Source organism: Homo sapiens, chromosome 1, assembly GCF_000001405.40.
Source record: "Homo sapiens chromosome 1, GRCh38.p14 Primary Assembly".
NCBI classification, from domain to species: domain Eukaryota; kingdom Metazoa; phylum Chordata; class Mammalia; order Primates; family Hominidae; genus Homo; species Homo sapiens.
In genome coordinates this window covers 245,744,901-245,762,828 of record NC_000001.11, presented here as the reverse complement: position 1 = coordinate 245,762,828, position 17,928 = coordinate 245,744,901, and the positions used below count along the sequence as shown (strand labels likewise).

The window sequence follows — 17,928 nt, the reverse complement described above, 5'->3', positions numbered from 1 at the left end:
CTCAGGGCGTGTCCAGGGGCCGGCTGATCCCAAAACACTGGCAGCCGCCCACATGGACCTAAGAGAAATGACAAATGCCGAAGGGATTCTTAAAAGCCAGATTCCACAGTGCTCATTTTCGCCGAATGCTAGCCATAGCGCCTTTACTTGATCTCTAAATAAAGTCAGCGTGTGGCCAACGGGAGTAACACTAGGATTCCCTGAGGGCACTCAGCTATTCTGTTCTTTTTATCATGTCTGGCATGTTTACCCAGGCGGGGGAAGAACACCGCACCGTCTGTTGCAGCCTCAGGGAGAACTTTCCTTTTCTGGTCTGGGGGTACTTGTCAGCCAGTCGAATCAGCAAGGTACAGCAAATCCTTATCAAGGGCCTACTGTGTGAAAGTCCTGACAGAAAAACAACGTGCAGGAAATTTCCTAATGTGCGATGCACCCAACACAGGGTCACCTGCAAGTAGATGTTCGTAAGTGATCAGACTAGACCTTTGTGTTTATATGGGACTAGAAACTATGAATACTGCTCGTACGTACGTGATCCGTGATCATACTCAGTCCCCATGACAGGTGACAGCTGTGTGAGGTCAATGGGACAGGCATTTTCATTCCTATTTGGAAAGTGAAGGCGCTCAGGTTTGGAGACATGCAAGAGCTCACCTAAAGTCGCACAGAGGCAGAGCCAGGTGTATTTGTTCAATTTAATTCAACATGGTGATCAAATACTTCTACTACTTTGAATAAGACTCAGGCTGGGCGCGGTGGCTCACATCTATAATCCCAGCACTTTGGGAGGCTGAGGCAGGAGGATCACCTGAGGTCAGGGGTTCAAGACCAGTCTGGCCAACATGGTGAAATCCCGTCTCTACAAAAATACAAAAATTAGCTGAGCATGATAACGGGTGCCTGAAATCCTAGCTGCTCAGGAGGCTGAGGTGAGAGAATCGCTTTAACCCAGGCGGCAGAGGTTACAGTGAGCCAAGATTGCACCATTGCACTCCAGCCTGGGCGACAGAGTGAGACTGTCTCAAAAAAAAAAAAAAAAAAAGACTCAATATGGTGTGTACAATTTAATGGAGGAGATAGACATGTACAAGTCATTAAATCCAGGCCAGAAACCAAGGCTCTGCTCTTTTCCTCTAGACTGGTCCAGTTAAATAGATGAGGCTCTCTAGTAAGATCAGTGTGCAGAAATCCCTTAAGATCTAACCGAACCCATGATGCCAACTCAGGGAAAAATATGGGAGAGAAATCAGAGAAGATTTAGATTGCTTCTTATGTGAAGCTTTAGTCATTGCTATTGCATACAGAACTTCTGAAGGAGACATCTAATACCCTCAACTATAAGGACAAGCCTGAACAAACCCAGACAGACATCTCGCTATGGATTTTCAGGATAATGTGGCCTGGGCTGATGGTACTGACCATCACCAGCCCTTCAGATGACCCTCTTACTGCCCTTTACATCCCTCATGCCCAGGTCTGTTCTGCTGCCCTCACACCCTTCTGATGAGGTTGCATCGCCTCTTTCAGAAGCTTCTCTTCGTAATCATGTTAGCTTTTCCTATTCTTGGTACCAAGGTGAAGCTCAGGCATACACCCTGATAGATGCCAAATGAAAGGTATTCTGGGAGCAGCATCAGATTATCTGTCATGAGGCCTGGGGTTAAATGGTGGCCTTACCCAAACTTGCTGTGTGTCTCTACAAAAGTCATTGAGTCTCTTGCCAAGGTCTGATGATCAACCAAGGAGCAAACATGCACTCCTGGCAGAGTTGTAGAAAGAGTGCAAGGATTTAGAGTCAGTAGGTTCAGGTTCCAGTCCCACCATTTGCGTTAATCTCTGAATATAATTTCATTTGTAAAAGGAAGCTGATAGCTATCCCATAGACTTGTTTTGAGGAGTAAGCGAGGCAATGCGGGAGAGTGTGCTTGCCAATCTCAAGCATTCTGAAACTATTAAAGATGGGTATTGTTACAGGAACTCTTGTTCTGATCACTCTCCCACTAGCTGGTCTGTTCAGTACTTGTGTTTGTAGTTTGGGGTACACGGTGGTTCCTCTGGTGAACAATTATGTTCTATGACTGCTCCCCAGCAGTGTTTTGCTCCCCAAGGTGAGTGGGAATCCCTCAAGGGACCTTACATTCCTTTTGTGTCTTCTGGTGCCACCTAACATAGACACACATGCCCCCAATACGGCAAGTTCTGTTAAATACATGCTTGAATGAATGGATTTTTTTAATGGATAGAAGTCTTTAAAAGCCTCCCCCTGGGCCTGCTGGTTAGCTGTTTACAGTTAATGGACCAGATCTTCTCATGACCTTTGCTGAGCATTTGCTAGCAGAGGGATGGCCTGAATGTATCCATCCCTAGGAAAGCTCACGTGACCTGTGAGTCTAGAAGCAGGTCAGTTTCTTCCTGAAGAAAGTCTTTCTTTCCTGAGCTTTCTCAGGACTCGGGTAACCTGGAGAGGGAAAAGGGAGGCTATACTCTTTGCCTTTTGAAACTGATGTCATCTTCAGACGGGCACCCTCGGGATGCTCTTTCTTGTCTTAGAAACCCTGGAAATAATGGAATGAAATCACTTGAATAAGGTTTTTGAAGACTGAGTTTGAATAGAAATCAGAGGAGCTTCAGAAACAGAAATTTATTACAGATTCAGTTAGGCTCCAGCCTCCTCCAGGAAAGGAATCCACTTAGCCCAGCTCTGATTTGGTTTAGTCTTCCATTTCCACTGGGCTCAGCTGAAATTCTTGTGATTGCTGCCACAGGACAGTCCTGGGGTCCCTTCCCAGTGCTTCCCTCCTGCCCTCTCCTGTCACTAATCTACTTTTATTTCTTTCCATTTATTTCTTAGAAGGCTTTTGTTTGCTACTAATTTGACTTCTTGGACCTCAAGGACAACCCATCTGGGCTGTCTTGTTAATCAGAGTTGTTTTTTTTCCTGTGAACCCTGCATGCTGCAGGCTCCCTCACCCTGGCCCTAGTGTAGTTGCTTTTCAGCAAAAATCTGGTTGCAAAAGTTAGACTTCTTTCCCCTCGGCATCCATTTTTTTAAAAAAATCTGTATTTAAACTTTTTGTATTACAATTTTTCCCTTCTCATTTGATTTTATTGCAGTATTTTACCCATTGAGCATCTTTTTAGCTTTTTCTGCATCTCAACAGACAGCACCAGGCCGCAAGTCCTAGAGATTGCTCCTTGTATTCCTGCATCGGCTGCCCTGATTTTCAGCCCCAGCAATGGCTGATTTAGAGCATGCAGTTCTGTTGTTCCCATGTCTTAATCCGCTACAGTGATTCTTAACCTCTTTGGTTGTGTCCCTATTTAGGAATCTGATGAGGGCCACTGACTAACCAGAGAAAAGTTAAATATACACAACCTTTTGTATATTTGGTGGGGATGGCAGCTTCAGAGGCTCCCTGAAGCCCTTCCATGGACTTAGTATCCATGGTGCCTAGGTTAAAAAGCCCTCCTCTAAACACTTAACATCATACGTTACCGTGTGGGGAGGTGGGAGGGAAAGAGGGGGAGTAAGAGGGCATGCGGAAGGATGTCCCGTAATTGTCACTAATACCTTCAAAGAGTTGTTTGGAAGCCCCTGGCTCTAATATTTATGAGTGATTCCTACTGACCTCCAAATAGAGAATAATAGTTCCAAGAGTGTGTTTTTGAACCAAAAAAGAGAAAAGATAAGAAAATAATGGATAAAATGCAAACACAGTGATTAAGTCGTATTATGGGAAATAAGCAGAAATTTACCTTCCAGGAAGTATGAGTTCAGTAGTAACAAGGAGCCAGATAGGGAACCTGAACTTGTACTCCCGCCTGGCAGTAACAGGGTGTCATCACTTCATTCTCTTGCTGGAGTGATGTCAGAGAAAGCCGGCTAAAGCAGGTTGAGGTAAAATTCAGAGTCTCATAACAGAATACTCAAAATGTTTGTGCTTCAGTTAAAAATCACTCACTATGCCAAGAACCAGGAATATCTCAATCTTAATGAAAATAAAAGCAATCAGTAGATGCCAATTCCAAGATAACAGAGATGTTAGAATAGTCTGACAGATTTTAAAGCAGCCATGATAAAAATGCTTCATCAAGGAATTACAAACACCCTCAAAATAAATGGAAAAAATAGAAAATCTCAGTTAAGAAGTAGAAGCCGTAAAGAAGACACAAATAGAAATTTAACAACTGATAAATATAATAATCAAAATAAACAGAAGGGAGCTCCACAACAGAATGGAGGAAACAGAGGAATGAATTGGTGAATGTGAAGATAAGACAATTGAAACTGCCCAAGCTGAAAAACAGAAAAAAATACTGAAGAAAAAGTAAAATTGAACAGTGCCTCAGGGGACCTATGAATCAGTAACAAAAGATCTAACATTGGAGTCCCAGAAAGAAAAGAAAAAGAGGGTGAGGTGGAAAAAGTGCTTGAAGAAATAATGGTGGAGGCATCCAAATTGGAAAGGAAGAAATAAAATTATCTCTATATACAGATGACATGATCTCATATGGAGAAAGCTCTGAAGATTACACACACACACCAAAAAATGTTAGAACTAATAAGTGAATTAAGCAAGGTAGCAGGATACAGATCAACACACAAAAATCAGTTGTATTTCTAAACGCTAAAAATGAACAATTCAAAAACAAAATTAAGAGAATAATGCTATTTGCAATAACACAAAACCAAGTAAGTTATTATCTGAGAATAACTGAATAAGTTATTCTCCATGAAGAAGGCATAAATAAGGAGAATGACATCTCATGTTCATAGGTTCGAAGACTTAGTATTATTAAGATGTCAATATTACCCAAAATAATCTTCAGATTCAATGCAATCTCTATCAAAATCCCAATGGCTTTTTTGGGGAAGAAGTAGAAAAATACATCTTGAAATATATATGGAACCTCAAGGAATCCCAAATAGCCAAAAGCAGTCTTGAAAAAGAAGAAGAAATATGGAGAACTCACAGTTCTTGATTTTAAAATTTACGAGAAAGCTACAGTAGTCAAAACAGGGTGATACTGGAATAGATGGACATATAGACCAATGGAATAGAATAGAGAGCCCAGAAATAAACCCTCGCATATATGATCAAATGATTTTCAACATGGATGCCAAGACCACTCAATGGAAAAATGACAGTCTCTTCAACAAATAGTGTTGGGGAAGCTGCATATCCACATGCAAAAGAATAAAGTTAGACCCTTTCTTAACACCATATAAAGTAACTCAAAATGGATCAAAGACCTAAACATATGAGCAAAAGCTTCTACTAGACTCTTAGAAGAACACATTAAGGAAAAAGCCTCATGACATTGGGCATAGTGATGATTTCTTGGATATGGCACCAAAGCTACAGGCAACAAAAGAAAATATAAACAAATTGGACTTCACCAAAATTAAACACTTTTGGGCATCAAAGGATACCATCAACAAAATAAAAAGCAACCCATAGAATGGGATATATACATACAAGGGAATATTATTCAGCCTTAAAAAGGAATAAAATTGTGACACATGCTACACATAAATGAACCTTGAAGGCATTATGCAAAGTGAAATAAGCCTGACAGAGAAGAACAAATATCATATTATTCCACTTATATGAGGTACCTAGAATAGTGAAATACCTAGAGACAGAAGTAGAACAGTGGTTACCAGAGTGTGAAGGGAGGAGGGGATGGGAAGCTATTGTTTAATGGGTACACAGTTTCAGTACAAGATGATGCAAAAGTTATGGCTATATGGATAGTAGTAATGGTTGCACAACAATGTGAATGTACTTAATGCTACTCAAGAGTTAAAAATAGTTAAAATGGTAACTATTAGTGTTTTGTGTACTTTACCATATTGTTTTTAAAAAAAGAATTAATAGTGGAAAACTTTGCAAATTTGGCAGGCGACATAAACCTGTAGATTTAAGAAGCTAAGCAAACCCCGAACAGTATAAACCGAAAGCAGTTCACACCAAGACTGTGGATCATACTCAAACTTCTGAAAACTAAAGACAAAAAAAAAAAAAGTCCTAAAAGCAGCAAGAGAAAAATGACAACTTACCTGTACAGGAAAAACAATTTGAATGACAGTGATTTTCTCATCAGAAACCACAGAAGCCAGATGAAAGTAGCATATTTTTTTCAAGTACTGAAAGAAAAGAACTGTTAACCCAAAGCTTGGGTTGCCCTTAGAATGTATGTTGTCCAGCAAGAATATCCTTCAGGAATGAAGAAGAAATCAAGACATTTTCAGATGAAGGAAAACTAAAAGAACTTATCGCTAGCAGACTTACTGTAAAAGAATGGCTAAAGAAGTTCTCTAAACAGAAAGAAAATGATAAAAGAAAGCTCTTGGAACATCAGGAAAGAAGAAAGAATATGGTCAGCAAAAGTGTGGGTAAGTAAAATGATCTTTCCTTCTCCCCTTGAGTTTTCTAGATTGTTTGATAGTTGAAGCAAAAATTATAACACTATCTGATATGATTCTAAATGTATGTAGTAGAAATATTTAGGGCAATTGTATTACAAATGGGGGAGTGGGGGAGGGTAAAATGTAAAGGGAAGGTTTCTACACTTGAGTTCAATGGGTAAAATGATGACACTAGTAAAGTATGATAAGTTATATACATATATATCTGTATATATACATATATAATATGCATACACATGTATATTATATACAAGTTATATATACATATATATGTGTGTGTATATATATATAAAATATATATAAATAATAAGACGTGGAGCAACCACAAAACTATATAAAGTAATACACTCAAAAGCACTAGAGAATGAAATTCTAAAAAAAAGTTTAACCCACAGAAAGGCAGGAAAAAGAAAGAAAAAGAGAGCAAACAGAAAACAAAAAATTAAATGGCAGATTTAAGCCCTGATGTATTAATAATAACATTGTAAATTATGTCAGTAGTCTATGTAAAAGATGTAAATTGCCTAAATATACCAATTAAAAGACAGAGATTAGTAGAACAGATTTTTAACAAATGACTCAAGCATATGTTGTCTGTAAGAATTCTTTTTAAATAGAATGATACAAATAGGTTGAAAGCAAAATGATGGAAAAAGATACATTATAAAAACACAATCAAAAGAAAGCTGGAGTAGCTATATCAATATTAAGTAAAGTAGACTTCAGAGCAAAGAAAATGTTATGAGAGACAGAGAGGGACATTGTATAATGAAAAAAAGGTCAGTCTACCAAAAAGACATAGTAGTACTAAATATGTATGCACCAAACAACACAGTTGCAAAACATGAGAAACAAAAACTGATAGAACTGAAAGGAGAAATGAGCAAATAGACAAGCACAGCTGGGAACATCAGACCTCCTCTGTCAACAGTTGGTAGAACAACTAGACAGAAACTGAGGAGGGATACAAAATAATTCCATAACACCATCAACCAATGGGACCTGACATTTAGAAAACACTTCACCCAGCAATAACAGAATGCACATTTTTAAGTAACTATAATACCAAAAGAGACCATTTTATGCCACAAAACAGATATCAATAAACATAAAAAGATTCAAGTTAATACAAAGTAAATTATCTGACCACAATGGAATTAAATTAGAAATCAGTAACAATATTTGGAAACAAAACCAAATCCACGCCTTGTAGCTGTGTCTGGCATGGCACATTGTACAACACATTGGGACTTGGGTTGCCCTTAGAATTTATATTGTCCAGTCTCATTATTTAGCTGAGGAAACATAACTTCTTCAGAGTCTCTCAGAGTTCAATTAATATGTACTGATTGATTGATTAAACAGTGATACAACAGCCATGCTTTTTCTGGAATGGCTACTACCACTGGAAAGCACAGACCTGAGCTCACCACATCTGTAACCCCTCCTGAGGGTGCCGTGGGGCCACCTGGTTCCTCCTTCCTCTGGGCGCCCCAGCACTTTGCATCTCTGTTGAACACACACTGTTCCACTGCAATGATCTGGTATTTACATTCTGTCCCTCTGACTATGCCAGAGCTTCTCCCAGGGCAAGGGCCAAGTTTTATTCATTAAAGCTGCTCAGACAGTATTGAGTGAATGAATGGGTAGATGTTATCTCTAAGGAAATTCTGCCTCCCAAAAGGACATATTCCTCCAGCGGAATACACACTTGAAGTTATCCAAGATGTAGAGTGGAGTGGGGTCTCCAGGGGTGCTGCTGAGCTGAGGTGGATCATCAAAGTCTTTGGGATTCTCTGCTGTCCTTGCAAAGGGCTTTTTGTGCCTCCAGAGCTGCTTAATGTGTTGTACCTCTTGCTTCTTGCATTTCCTCCTTTGAATGCCCCAGACCAGCTTCCTCCTCCCTGTGCCCCACCCTCTGCTTTTCTTTCATTCTGAGTTGGGCAGAATAAGAAAACCTGCTTTATTTTTTCCCGTCGTGATTTGATTCCAGGGGTTCTTATCATGCATACATTTCTTTTCCCTCTGATTTTATATCCATATTTAAATCATACTTGGGAAGTCACTTACTAGATTCCTCAAGCTCATGGTAGAAACTGTTTGAGATCCTTGATAAGCTTAATATATTCATATTAAAATTAATAGGAGAGGTATATTGTTTCCAACTTTATGATTTGATTTAAATTCATTTTATTTAATATATGACCACAATTCTAAAATTACTTAAAAAAACAGATGAGATTGAAATCAATTCTGGGGACCCTTTCTCTATTACTGAGTTAACTGTATGCCTGTAATGTGGCAGACAAGCTATGCTGCTTTTCTCATGTGACATTTCGAGTCTGGATGTGGGTGTAGCAGGCACCCTCCTTGGAGGCTTCAAATGAGTGCTCTGTGAAAGATTATGTGCAGGCTCTTTTTAAATGCTACCATTAAAAAAAATAAAATTTAATGGAAAGAGATAAGCTTTTCCCAACACCAGCCTGCTCCAATTTTATATTTCCTTAATCTGTTTTATATGCTACTGCAGGAAATTAAACCAGAATTGTCCTCTCTGACATGCGCATGGGTGACAGATGGGAGTGGTAGGAGAAGGGAGACACAGAGCTACTTGAAACAATTGCTCTCGTTTGTCAGAAATTTATTGTAACTTTTTTGGGGGATGGTAATGTGAGGGGAAGCCCTCCTCATCTTCCTGCTGTACTGAAGGGCTGTGCCCAGGGCCACACAGGGCCCTCTCCGTACATCGTTGAGGACTGTCTGCCCCAGCTCACCCAGTGCTGAAGGGCTGTGCCCAGGGCCACACAGGGCCCTCTCCGTACATTGTTGAGGACTGTCTGCCCCAGCTCACCCATAGGCCCAGGTGATGTTCAAGACAAGGACCAGATGTCCTCATCACCAGGTGTGAATTGCAGCTTCCTGCTGACCTGTGTCACACCATTCATCCACGCACACATCCGCACACACAGTCACTAACATATTTTGCACATTACTGAATCCTACTTCTTTCTTCTCGTTTTTCTCTCCCTTTCTCATCTACATCTGCCCATCTTTCAGAGAAAAGTATGTTTGCTTGTGAATTAATCAAATCTATATGGCGTTTTACTTTCTAGACAGATGATGTAGTTTCTTTTTTTTTTTTTTCAGTTGCTTCAGATTAGTTCTCTGCCCCTACCCATACCCATTTCCTCTCTGTTTCTAGCCACCCTATGGACGAGATCCTCTAAACTTAGTATCTCAGACTCTACACACACATTCCTGAGGGTTGCCCCTGTTCCCCTTTGCTACTGGTGATGCATTCAGCATCAAGTAAGAGAACACAGAACATGACCAGCAGCATCTTGACAAGGAAGGCACCTGTGTCCCCTCAGGGTATCTCTGCAGCCATGTCCAGGAGAGCCTCTGCTCCTCTCCTTGGTCACTGCAGTCTGTTCATACGGGGAGGCTGCACAATGCAGTCATGGAATGGACACACTGGGTTGAGTCCTGAGAGCCGAGAGGTCATCCTTAGTCTAACTCTCAAGCCAGGTGACCTCAGGAAGCACTTCCTTCCATAACATGAGGGTATTGGACTAGATGATCCTTCTGGTCTTTCCTCAAGGAAGCAGGCTGTGAGGTGTGGATGTGAAGCTGGAGGAAGGCCAGGAAACTCCCCCTTCCTGGCTGTGGCTCTAATTCCAGAATGGCTGAAGAACTGGAAGTAGTTACCGTACTGTGGGATGGGCAGGTCTGCCCCTTCCATGAACAGGAATATACTGGATCAGTGGGGAGTAGACCTTACTCTTAAAGCTGCAAAAGAGGAGAAAGTGAAACTCACCACTGGAACTGGAAGAAAAGAGCGAGGAAGGAAGCCTGGAGCCTGTAGTATGTTCAAAGCATGCCAGTGAACTTATGTTGTTGAAGTGACAAGAAGATGGCTTTGTCATTTAGCCTCTGAGTCAAGTCAGAGAGAAGCACAGATCATTCTTCAGATGGGGAACCTGGGGAATGTAACCAGGAGGGCAAAAAAGAGGCTGGTCTGGAAATTCTGAGCAACAAGGCCAGGCCCTCACCCAGCCGAGGGCCTCTGTGAGGGCAGGGAGGGAGGCGAGGCCGAGCAGGTTAGGTCTGGCCTTTTTCAGGACGGAGGGTTACGTCCCTCTCTGCAAAGATCTTTCCAGGCAGTGATTCTGCCCCATTCATCTTCCTTTGCCAGATCACAAGCACTCTGGCTCTTTGTTGAGTAAAAGGGAAGAGAACATCTAAGAGTGCTTTCAAGTAAGAAAATTTCCCATGAAGGCTCTCTGATCTGAGAAACCTTCTCTTTCCGCAATCGTGCTGTCACACAGGTCTCTGCCTCAGACCTCAAGATGTCCAGAGCAGCGGAGGATCCAGGGCAGTGTGGAGAAAAGAGAATAAAACACGAGGCATGTGCTCCATGAATGCCATCAAACATTTGTTTTTAATCTTCTGCCCAGGGGAATCTCATAGAGCTGGGCTGCTTGCAAGGTGGGGGCTGGTCCCAACTCCTCCCCTGCACTCCGGACAGCCCCCTGCCTAGGGATTTGCTGGCAGATGCTGTGCACCCACAGAGCAGACTTGCTCGCATGAATAGGAAGTCAATTCCCACCGCCAGCATCTCAGCTCCAGCCACCTTCTGGGCTTTGCAGCTGGAGTGTCACAGGGTGAGGGGCCAGACTGCCAGTGCGGGGTCACAACTGGACTCAGAGCAGAGCTGTCTTCCAGGCTGAGAGGCCAGGGTCTGAGGCGCTGGCCCTTTCTCTCTCTCTCTCTTTTTCTCTCTCTCTTTCTCTCTCTCTCTTTCTCTCTCTCTCTCTTTCTCTTTCTCTCTGTCTCTCTGTCTCTCTCTCTCTTTCTCTCTCTTTCTCTCTCTCTCAGCAGCAAATCTAGACCCCCTCTGTCTGCCTGTTTTCCTTCCAGCCTAAAGGGAACATTCAAGAGGTGAAAAAAGAAGCCAGAAACAGAGGTTGAAATTACCCATCCCCCTGAAATGCTTTGTTTCTCGAAGCTTCAGCGTTTTTCCAACGTAGAATGGAAAGTTTTCCTGCATGCAGAATTGCAAAATGCAGGCGTCTCACCACATGACCACCAAGGTCTGAAATCTCTGTGGTTTTCAAGATGTTCATGCTCAAGAATTCCACCCCTAGCAATTGCTCTTAAATATCCAAGAAAGGCAAAAAATCTATTCTGGAAGGTCTGCATCATATCCTAATAAACAATTGGAGGTGATCTAAATTTCCAGGAGTAGCTTAGTAAATAATGGTTTATAAGCATGATGGCATTCATTATATACAACAATTAAAATGGTAATTCTTCTGGCTATAAATTAACACTGAATCATGAGTAGTTGATGTTATTTGTTGAGAGTTTGCTCTATCAGTTGTTTTCAACCTTGAGAACATGTTGGAATCTCCTGGGGCCTAGGCCTCATTCCTGGAGAGCAGGCTTCAGCTGTTGATGTGCAGGGTCTGGCCCTCGGTGTCTCTTTTGAAGCTCCCTGGTTGATCCTGCTGTGTAGCTAAGGCTGAGAGCCTCAGTGCCACTTCCAGGTACTTTGGGTGCATAACAGCCACCAGAGTCATATCTTTACAAGTCTCCTGGGCACATTTACATCAAATGCAGTGGTTCTGGTGTCCCTCCCTTCTCCCCAGTCCACCCCACCCCACCCCACCCCCCCATTTGGGCAGGGCAGGATAATATTGCTTATCTCTTATTTATTACAAAAATATTTTCAAGGATACTCTGGTTGTTTGTTGTTCCATAACCATCCCAAAACTGAATGGAGTAAACAACGGCAAAATTATTGCACAAATGCTGTGTGTCAGGAATTGGCACACAGCATAAGAATGGCTTTCTTCTTTTCTACAATGTCTGGTGTTTCATCTGGGAAGACAGATCTGGCAGTCTTCAGCTGGGTGCTGGAATCGTCTGAAGGTTTATTTATGTACATGTCTGGTGCCTTGTCTAGAATGACTTGAAAGATGAGCTTGGCTAAGACTGCCAGCCAGAGTGCCTGTACACGGCCTCCCTCTATGTGGCTTGGGCTTCCTTGCAGCATGGAGTCTCTTGGTTCTGGGAGCAAACATACTGACCAGTAAACAACACAGAGGCCTTTTTGACCTAGTCTCACAAGTCAGTTGCTTTACTTCTATTATACTCTATTATTGAAGTACTCATAAGCCCACACAGATTTCAGAAATATTTTGAAGATAAGAGTTGACAAGATTTAATAATGGACCAAATATGAGCAGTGAAGGAGAGGACTGTTGAAATGCCAGTGCTATAATATGATATGAAAAAAAATGTGAGAATACATGTATATAATAATCCTGGTGCATATAGATGAGAATTGAATGGAGTGTGCAATAAAGAAAAATTTTAAGGTGGTAGCAGCATGGTCTTTCATATGACTCAATCATTTTGGTAACTCTTCTTATCCCTGTGACTACCCACCAAACCTGTGCACTGACAGTCTTTGAAGATCATCGATTGTCACTGGGCCCCAGCATGACTCGAATAGTGAGTCTGCTTTCCAAATACCACATTCAGAAATCACCCTTTTCATGTGACTTTCCAGCTGGGAGAACCACAGTGCTGTAAGCCTGTTAAAGACTGTTCACCCTGTAAACCTGTGGGGTTCACCAGGCCCCTGGCATCATGGGGTAAAGGTGGGGAATGGCCTGAGCTCACCTATTTTGGGGTCTAATCTCTCTTCCGTCCTTTCTCTTTAGGCTTTTGATATTATGAGAGTGACACATGGCAGAGAACACAGCCTGATTGAAGATTTGATTCTACTTTTAGAAGAATGCGACGCCAACATCAGAGCATCCTAAGGGAACGCAGTCAGAGGGAAATACGGCGTGTGTCTTTGTTGAATGCCTTATTGAGGTCACACACTCTATGCTTTGTTAGCTGTGTGAACCTCTCCTATTGGAAATTCTGTTCCGTGTTTGTGTAGGTAAATAAAGGCAGACATGGTTTGCAAACCACAAGAATCATTAGTTGTAGAGAAGCACGATTATAATAAATTCAAAACATTTGGTTGAGGATGCCATCTGGTAATTGTCTTATTTGCTTACTCATTGGCGATTTTAATGTTTAAAATACCAACATTCAAGACAGAAAATCATATTAAAAGCATGACAAATAAGTTATAACTTTCTCTTTGGATATATGTAGGGATAATTAGATAAAAGTCACTATTTTCACATTTGCTTCCAAGCAAAAACTTAATGTCCATTTTGGCAAGAAGCAGAATTTTGAGATGTCATCTTTTGCTCTTTGTGATAAATGATGTTTGTGTTTGTTATTTACTTCCAAATACTTCTCCAACACAAGAAGTTTTATCCTAAATGCTAGGAAGAAGCCATTTTAGATATTACTAGAAAAGGATAGGAAGTCTTAATGCCAAAAACCAGTTTTTCGAATGTCTCACAGCTCTTTGTGTAAACCTTTCTCATCAGCATTTTATAACTCCTTGTGTATGTCTTTTTTTTTTCCTTGAAATTTTTTCTGTAATTAGCCAAATGTGTGGTTCAGCATGTGAGTGTGTGAGTGTGGTATGCACGGTGTAAAGCTCCATTATCCTGCAGCAAGCAAGGTTCTCGCATCCCAGCTCAAATCAGACTTGCTTGCTTGCTTTTTCCTCTTTATTATTTCCTAATTCTTTGGCCTGTTCTTCTGCCTTTCTACTTTAGACAAATACAGAAAACCTTTTCTTTTCCACTTCTAAAAATGTCAATTGTCTTATGGCTCAGGGATCCTGTGAGCAGTGCAGTCCCTCACGCTTAGATGACACTGGTGGTAACTGAAGCCCGTGGATTCCTAGAGTTGAAAGGATTCTTAGAGAGCGTGCAGTCATCCACACTTTATTTCACAAGCAAGGAAATGGGCGGTGGCAGAATCCAGAGTAGCAACCCACATTCCTGAGTCCCGCTCAGGAGCCCTCCCCGTCTTTCACAGAGGGCGCCGCAAGTCCTCTGACGAGGCACTGTTAGAATGGCACATGGATGTCTGATGGAGCGTGAAGGAACCAACCTTACTTCTACAACAGAGAAAGCTGATGACTTGAAACTGGAGTCCTCTTAGGCTGAACACATGGTGACCACTTTGATAGAAAAAAAATATACAATATCCTGCATCCTGATGAGTTCTAAAGCCTTTCCATAAGCTTGTTTCTGCTTGAGCCACCGTCTATTATGTATCAAGGACATCTCTAAAGCACACAGGATCTTTAACAACCACAACAGCATGACAAGGTAGGTATTTTGAAGCCCATTTTATAAAAATGAGGAAATGGAATCCTTGGTGTGCTGTTTCCCTCCTGATTGACTTGAGTAGCCTTGAGAAAAAGGGGTTTAATTGCAGCCTTTTCAAGGGGCCATTTCTACCCAGTTCAACAAATACATATTGAATGGTTACAGGGTTTAAAGGGAAAGGAGATACAAAGACTGAATAAGACACATCCCCATCTTCCAAACGGACACTGTCTGGTCTGGTACTTGTATCAGTTAGCTTTTTTTTCCCTCTCATTTGAGGTTTATTATTATTATTATACTTTAAGTTCTGGGGTACATGTGCAGAATGTGCAGGTTTGTTACATAGGTATACACGTGCCATGGTGGTTTGCACCCATCAACCCATCATCTACATTAGGTATTTCTCCTAATGCTATCCTTCCCCTAGTCCCCCACTGCCCCGACAGACCCCGCTGTGTGATGTTCCCCTCCCTGTGTCCGTGTGTTCTCATTGTTCAACTCCCACTTATGAATGAGAACAGGCGGTGTTGGGTTTTCTGTTCCTGTGTTAGTTTGCTGAGAATGATGGTTTCCAGCTTTATCCGTGTCCCTGCAAAGGACATGAACTCATTCTTTTTTATGGCTGCATAGTATTCCATGGTGTGTATGTGCCACATTTTCTTAATCCAGTCTATTATTTCTGGGCATTTGGGTTGGTTCCAAGTCTTTGCTATTGTGAACAGTGCCACATTAAACATACATGTACATGTGTCTTTATATTAGCATGATTTATAATCCTTTGGGTATATACCCAGTAATGGGATCACTGGGTCAAATGGTATTTCTGGTTCTAGATCCTTGAGGAATCACCACACTGGCTTCCACAATGGTTGAACTAATTTACACTCCCACCAACAGTGTAAAAGTGTTCCTATTTCTCCACATCCTCTCCAACATCTGTTGTTTCCTGACTTTTTAATGATTGCCATTTTAACTAGTGTGAGATGGTATCTCATTGTGGTTTTGATTTCCATTTCTCTAATGACCAGTGAGAATGAACATTTTTTCATATGTTTGTTGGCCGCGTAAATGTCATTTTTTAAGAAGTGTCTGTTCATAAACTTCACCCACTTTTTGATAGGGTTGTTTTTTTCTTGTAAATTTAAGTTCTTTATAGATTCTGGATATTAGCCCTATGTCAGATGGATGGGTTGCAAAATTTTTCTCTCATTCTGTAGGCTGCCTGTTCACTCTGATGATAGTTTCTTTTGCTGTGCAGAAGCTCTTTAGTTTAATTAGATCCTATTTGTCAATTTTGGCTTTTGTTGCCATTGCTTTTGGTGTTTTAGCCATGAAGTCTTTTCCCATGCCTATGTCCTGAATGGTATTGCCTACATTTTCTTTTAGGGTTTTTATGGTTTTAGGTCTTATGTTTAAGTCTTTAATCCAACTTGAGTTAATTTTTGTATAAGGTTTAAGGGAGGGGTCCAGTTTCAGTTTTCTGCATATGGCTAGCCAGTTTTCCCAACACCATTTATTAAATAGAGAATCCTTTCCCCATTGCTTGTTTTTGTCCAGTTTGTCAAAGATCAGATGGTTATAGATGTGTGGTGTTATTTCTGAGGCCTCTGTTCTGTTCCATTGGTCTGTGTATCTGTTTTGGTACGAGTACCATGCTGTTTCGGTTACTGTAGCCTTGTAGTATAGTTTCAAGTCAGGTAGCATGATGCCTCCAGCTTTGTTCTTCCTGCCTTAGATTGTCTTGGCTATGCAGGCTCTTTTTTGATTCCATATGAAATTTAAAGTAGTTTTTTTCCAATTCGGTGAAGAAAGTCAATGGTAGCTTGATGGGGATAGTACTGAATCTATAAATTACTTTGGGTAGTATGGCCATTTTCATGATATTGATTCTTCCTATTCATGAGCATGGAATGTTTTTCCATTTGTTTGTATCTTCTAATTTTCTTGAGCAGTGGTTTGTAGTTCTCCTTGAAGAGGTCCTTCACATCCCTTGGAAGTTGTATTTCTAGGTATTTTGTTGTCTTTGTAGCAATTGTGAATGGGAGTTCACTCATGATTCGGCTCTCTGTTTGTGTATAGGAATGCTTGTGATTTTTGCTCATTGATTTTGTATCCTGAGACTTTGCTGAAGTTGCTTATCAGCTTAAGGAGATTTTGGTGCTGAGATGGTGGGGTTTTCTAAATATAGAATCATGTCATCTGCAAGCACAGACAATTTGACTTCCTCTCTTCCTATTTGAATACGCTTTATTTCTTTCTCTTGCCTGATTGTCCTGGCCAGAACTTCCAATACTATGTTGAATAGGAGTGGCGAGAGAGGGCATCCTTGTCTTGTGCCGGTTTTCAAAGGGAATGCTTCCAGTTTTTGCCTATTCGAGCTCTGATAAGGGTTAGACTACCTCCTCAAGTGGGTCCCTGACCCCTGTGTATCCTGACTAGGAGACACCTCCCAGTAGGGGCCAACAGACACCTCATACCGGAGAGCTCTGGCTGGCATCTGGTGGGTGCCCTTCTGGGACAAACCTTCCAGAAGAAGGAACAGGCAGCAATCTTTGCTGTTCTGCAGCCTCCGCTGGTGATACCCAGGCAAACCGGGTCTGGAGAGGACCTCAGCAAACTCCAGCAGACTTGCAGCAGAGGGGCCTGACTGTTAGAAGGAAAACTAACAAACAGAAAGGAATAGCATCAACATCAACAAAAAGGACGTCCACTCAGAGACCCCATCTGAAGGTCACCAACATTAGAGACCAAAGGTAGATAAATCCATGAAGATGGGGAGAAACCAGCAAAAAAAAAAGGCTGAAAATTCCAAAACCCAGAATGCCTCTTCTCCTCCAAAGGATCACAACTCCTCGCCAGCAAGGGAACAAAACTGGATGGAGAATGAGTTTGACAAATTGACAGAAGTAGGCTTCAGAAGGTGGGTAATAACAAACTCCTCCAAGCTAAAGGAGCATGTTCTAACCCAATGCAAGGAAGCTAAGAACCTTGAAAAAAGGTTCAATGAATTGCTAACTAGAATAACAAGTTTAGAGAAGAACATAAATGACCTGATAGAGCTGAAAAACACAGCACGAGAACTTTGTGGAGCATATACAAGTATCAGTAGCCAAATCAATCAAGTGGAAGAAAGGATATCAGAGATTGAAGATCGACTTAATGAAATAAAGCAAGAAGACAAAATTAGAGAAAAAAGAATGAAAAGAAATGAACAAAGCCTCCAAGAAATTTGGGACT

At 41.3% G+C, this 17,928-nt stretch overlaps 1 protein-coding gene across 19 annotated transcripts in view; it reads left to right on the top strand.

Annotated features, from left to right (window-relative positions):
• SMYD3 (SET and MYND domain containing 3) overlaps positions 1-13,482 on the top strand; it is a 757,933-nt gene extending 744,451 nt beyond the window's left edge. For all 19 annotated transcript variants that reach the window (NM_001375962.1, NM_001167740.2, XM_047428020.1 and 16 more), the window contains one exon: positions 13,165-13,482. In NM_001375962.1, coding sequence (NP_001362891.1) covers positions 13,165-13,266 — 102 coding nt within the window. In that variant the 3' untranslated portion in view covers positions 13,267-13,482. The remainder of the gene's footprint in view (positions 1-13,164) is intronic.
• The last annotated feature ends 4,446 nt before the right edge of the window (positions 13,483-17,928 follow it).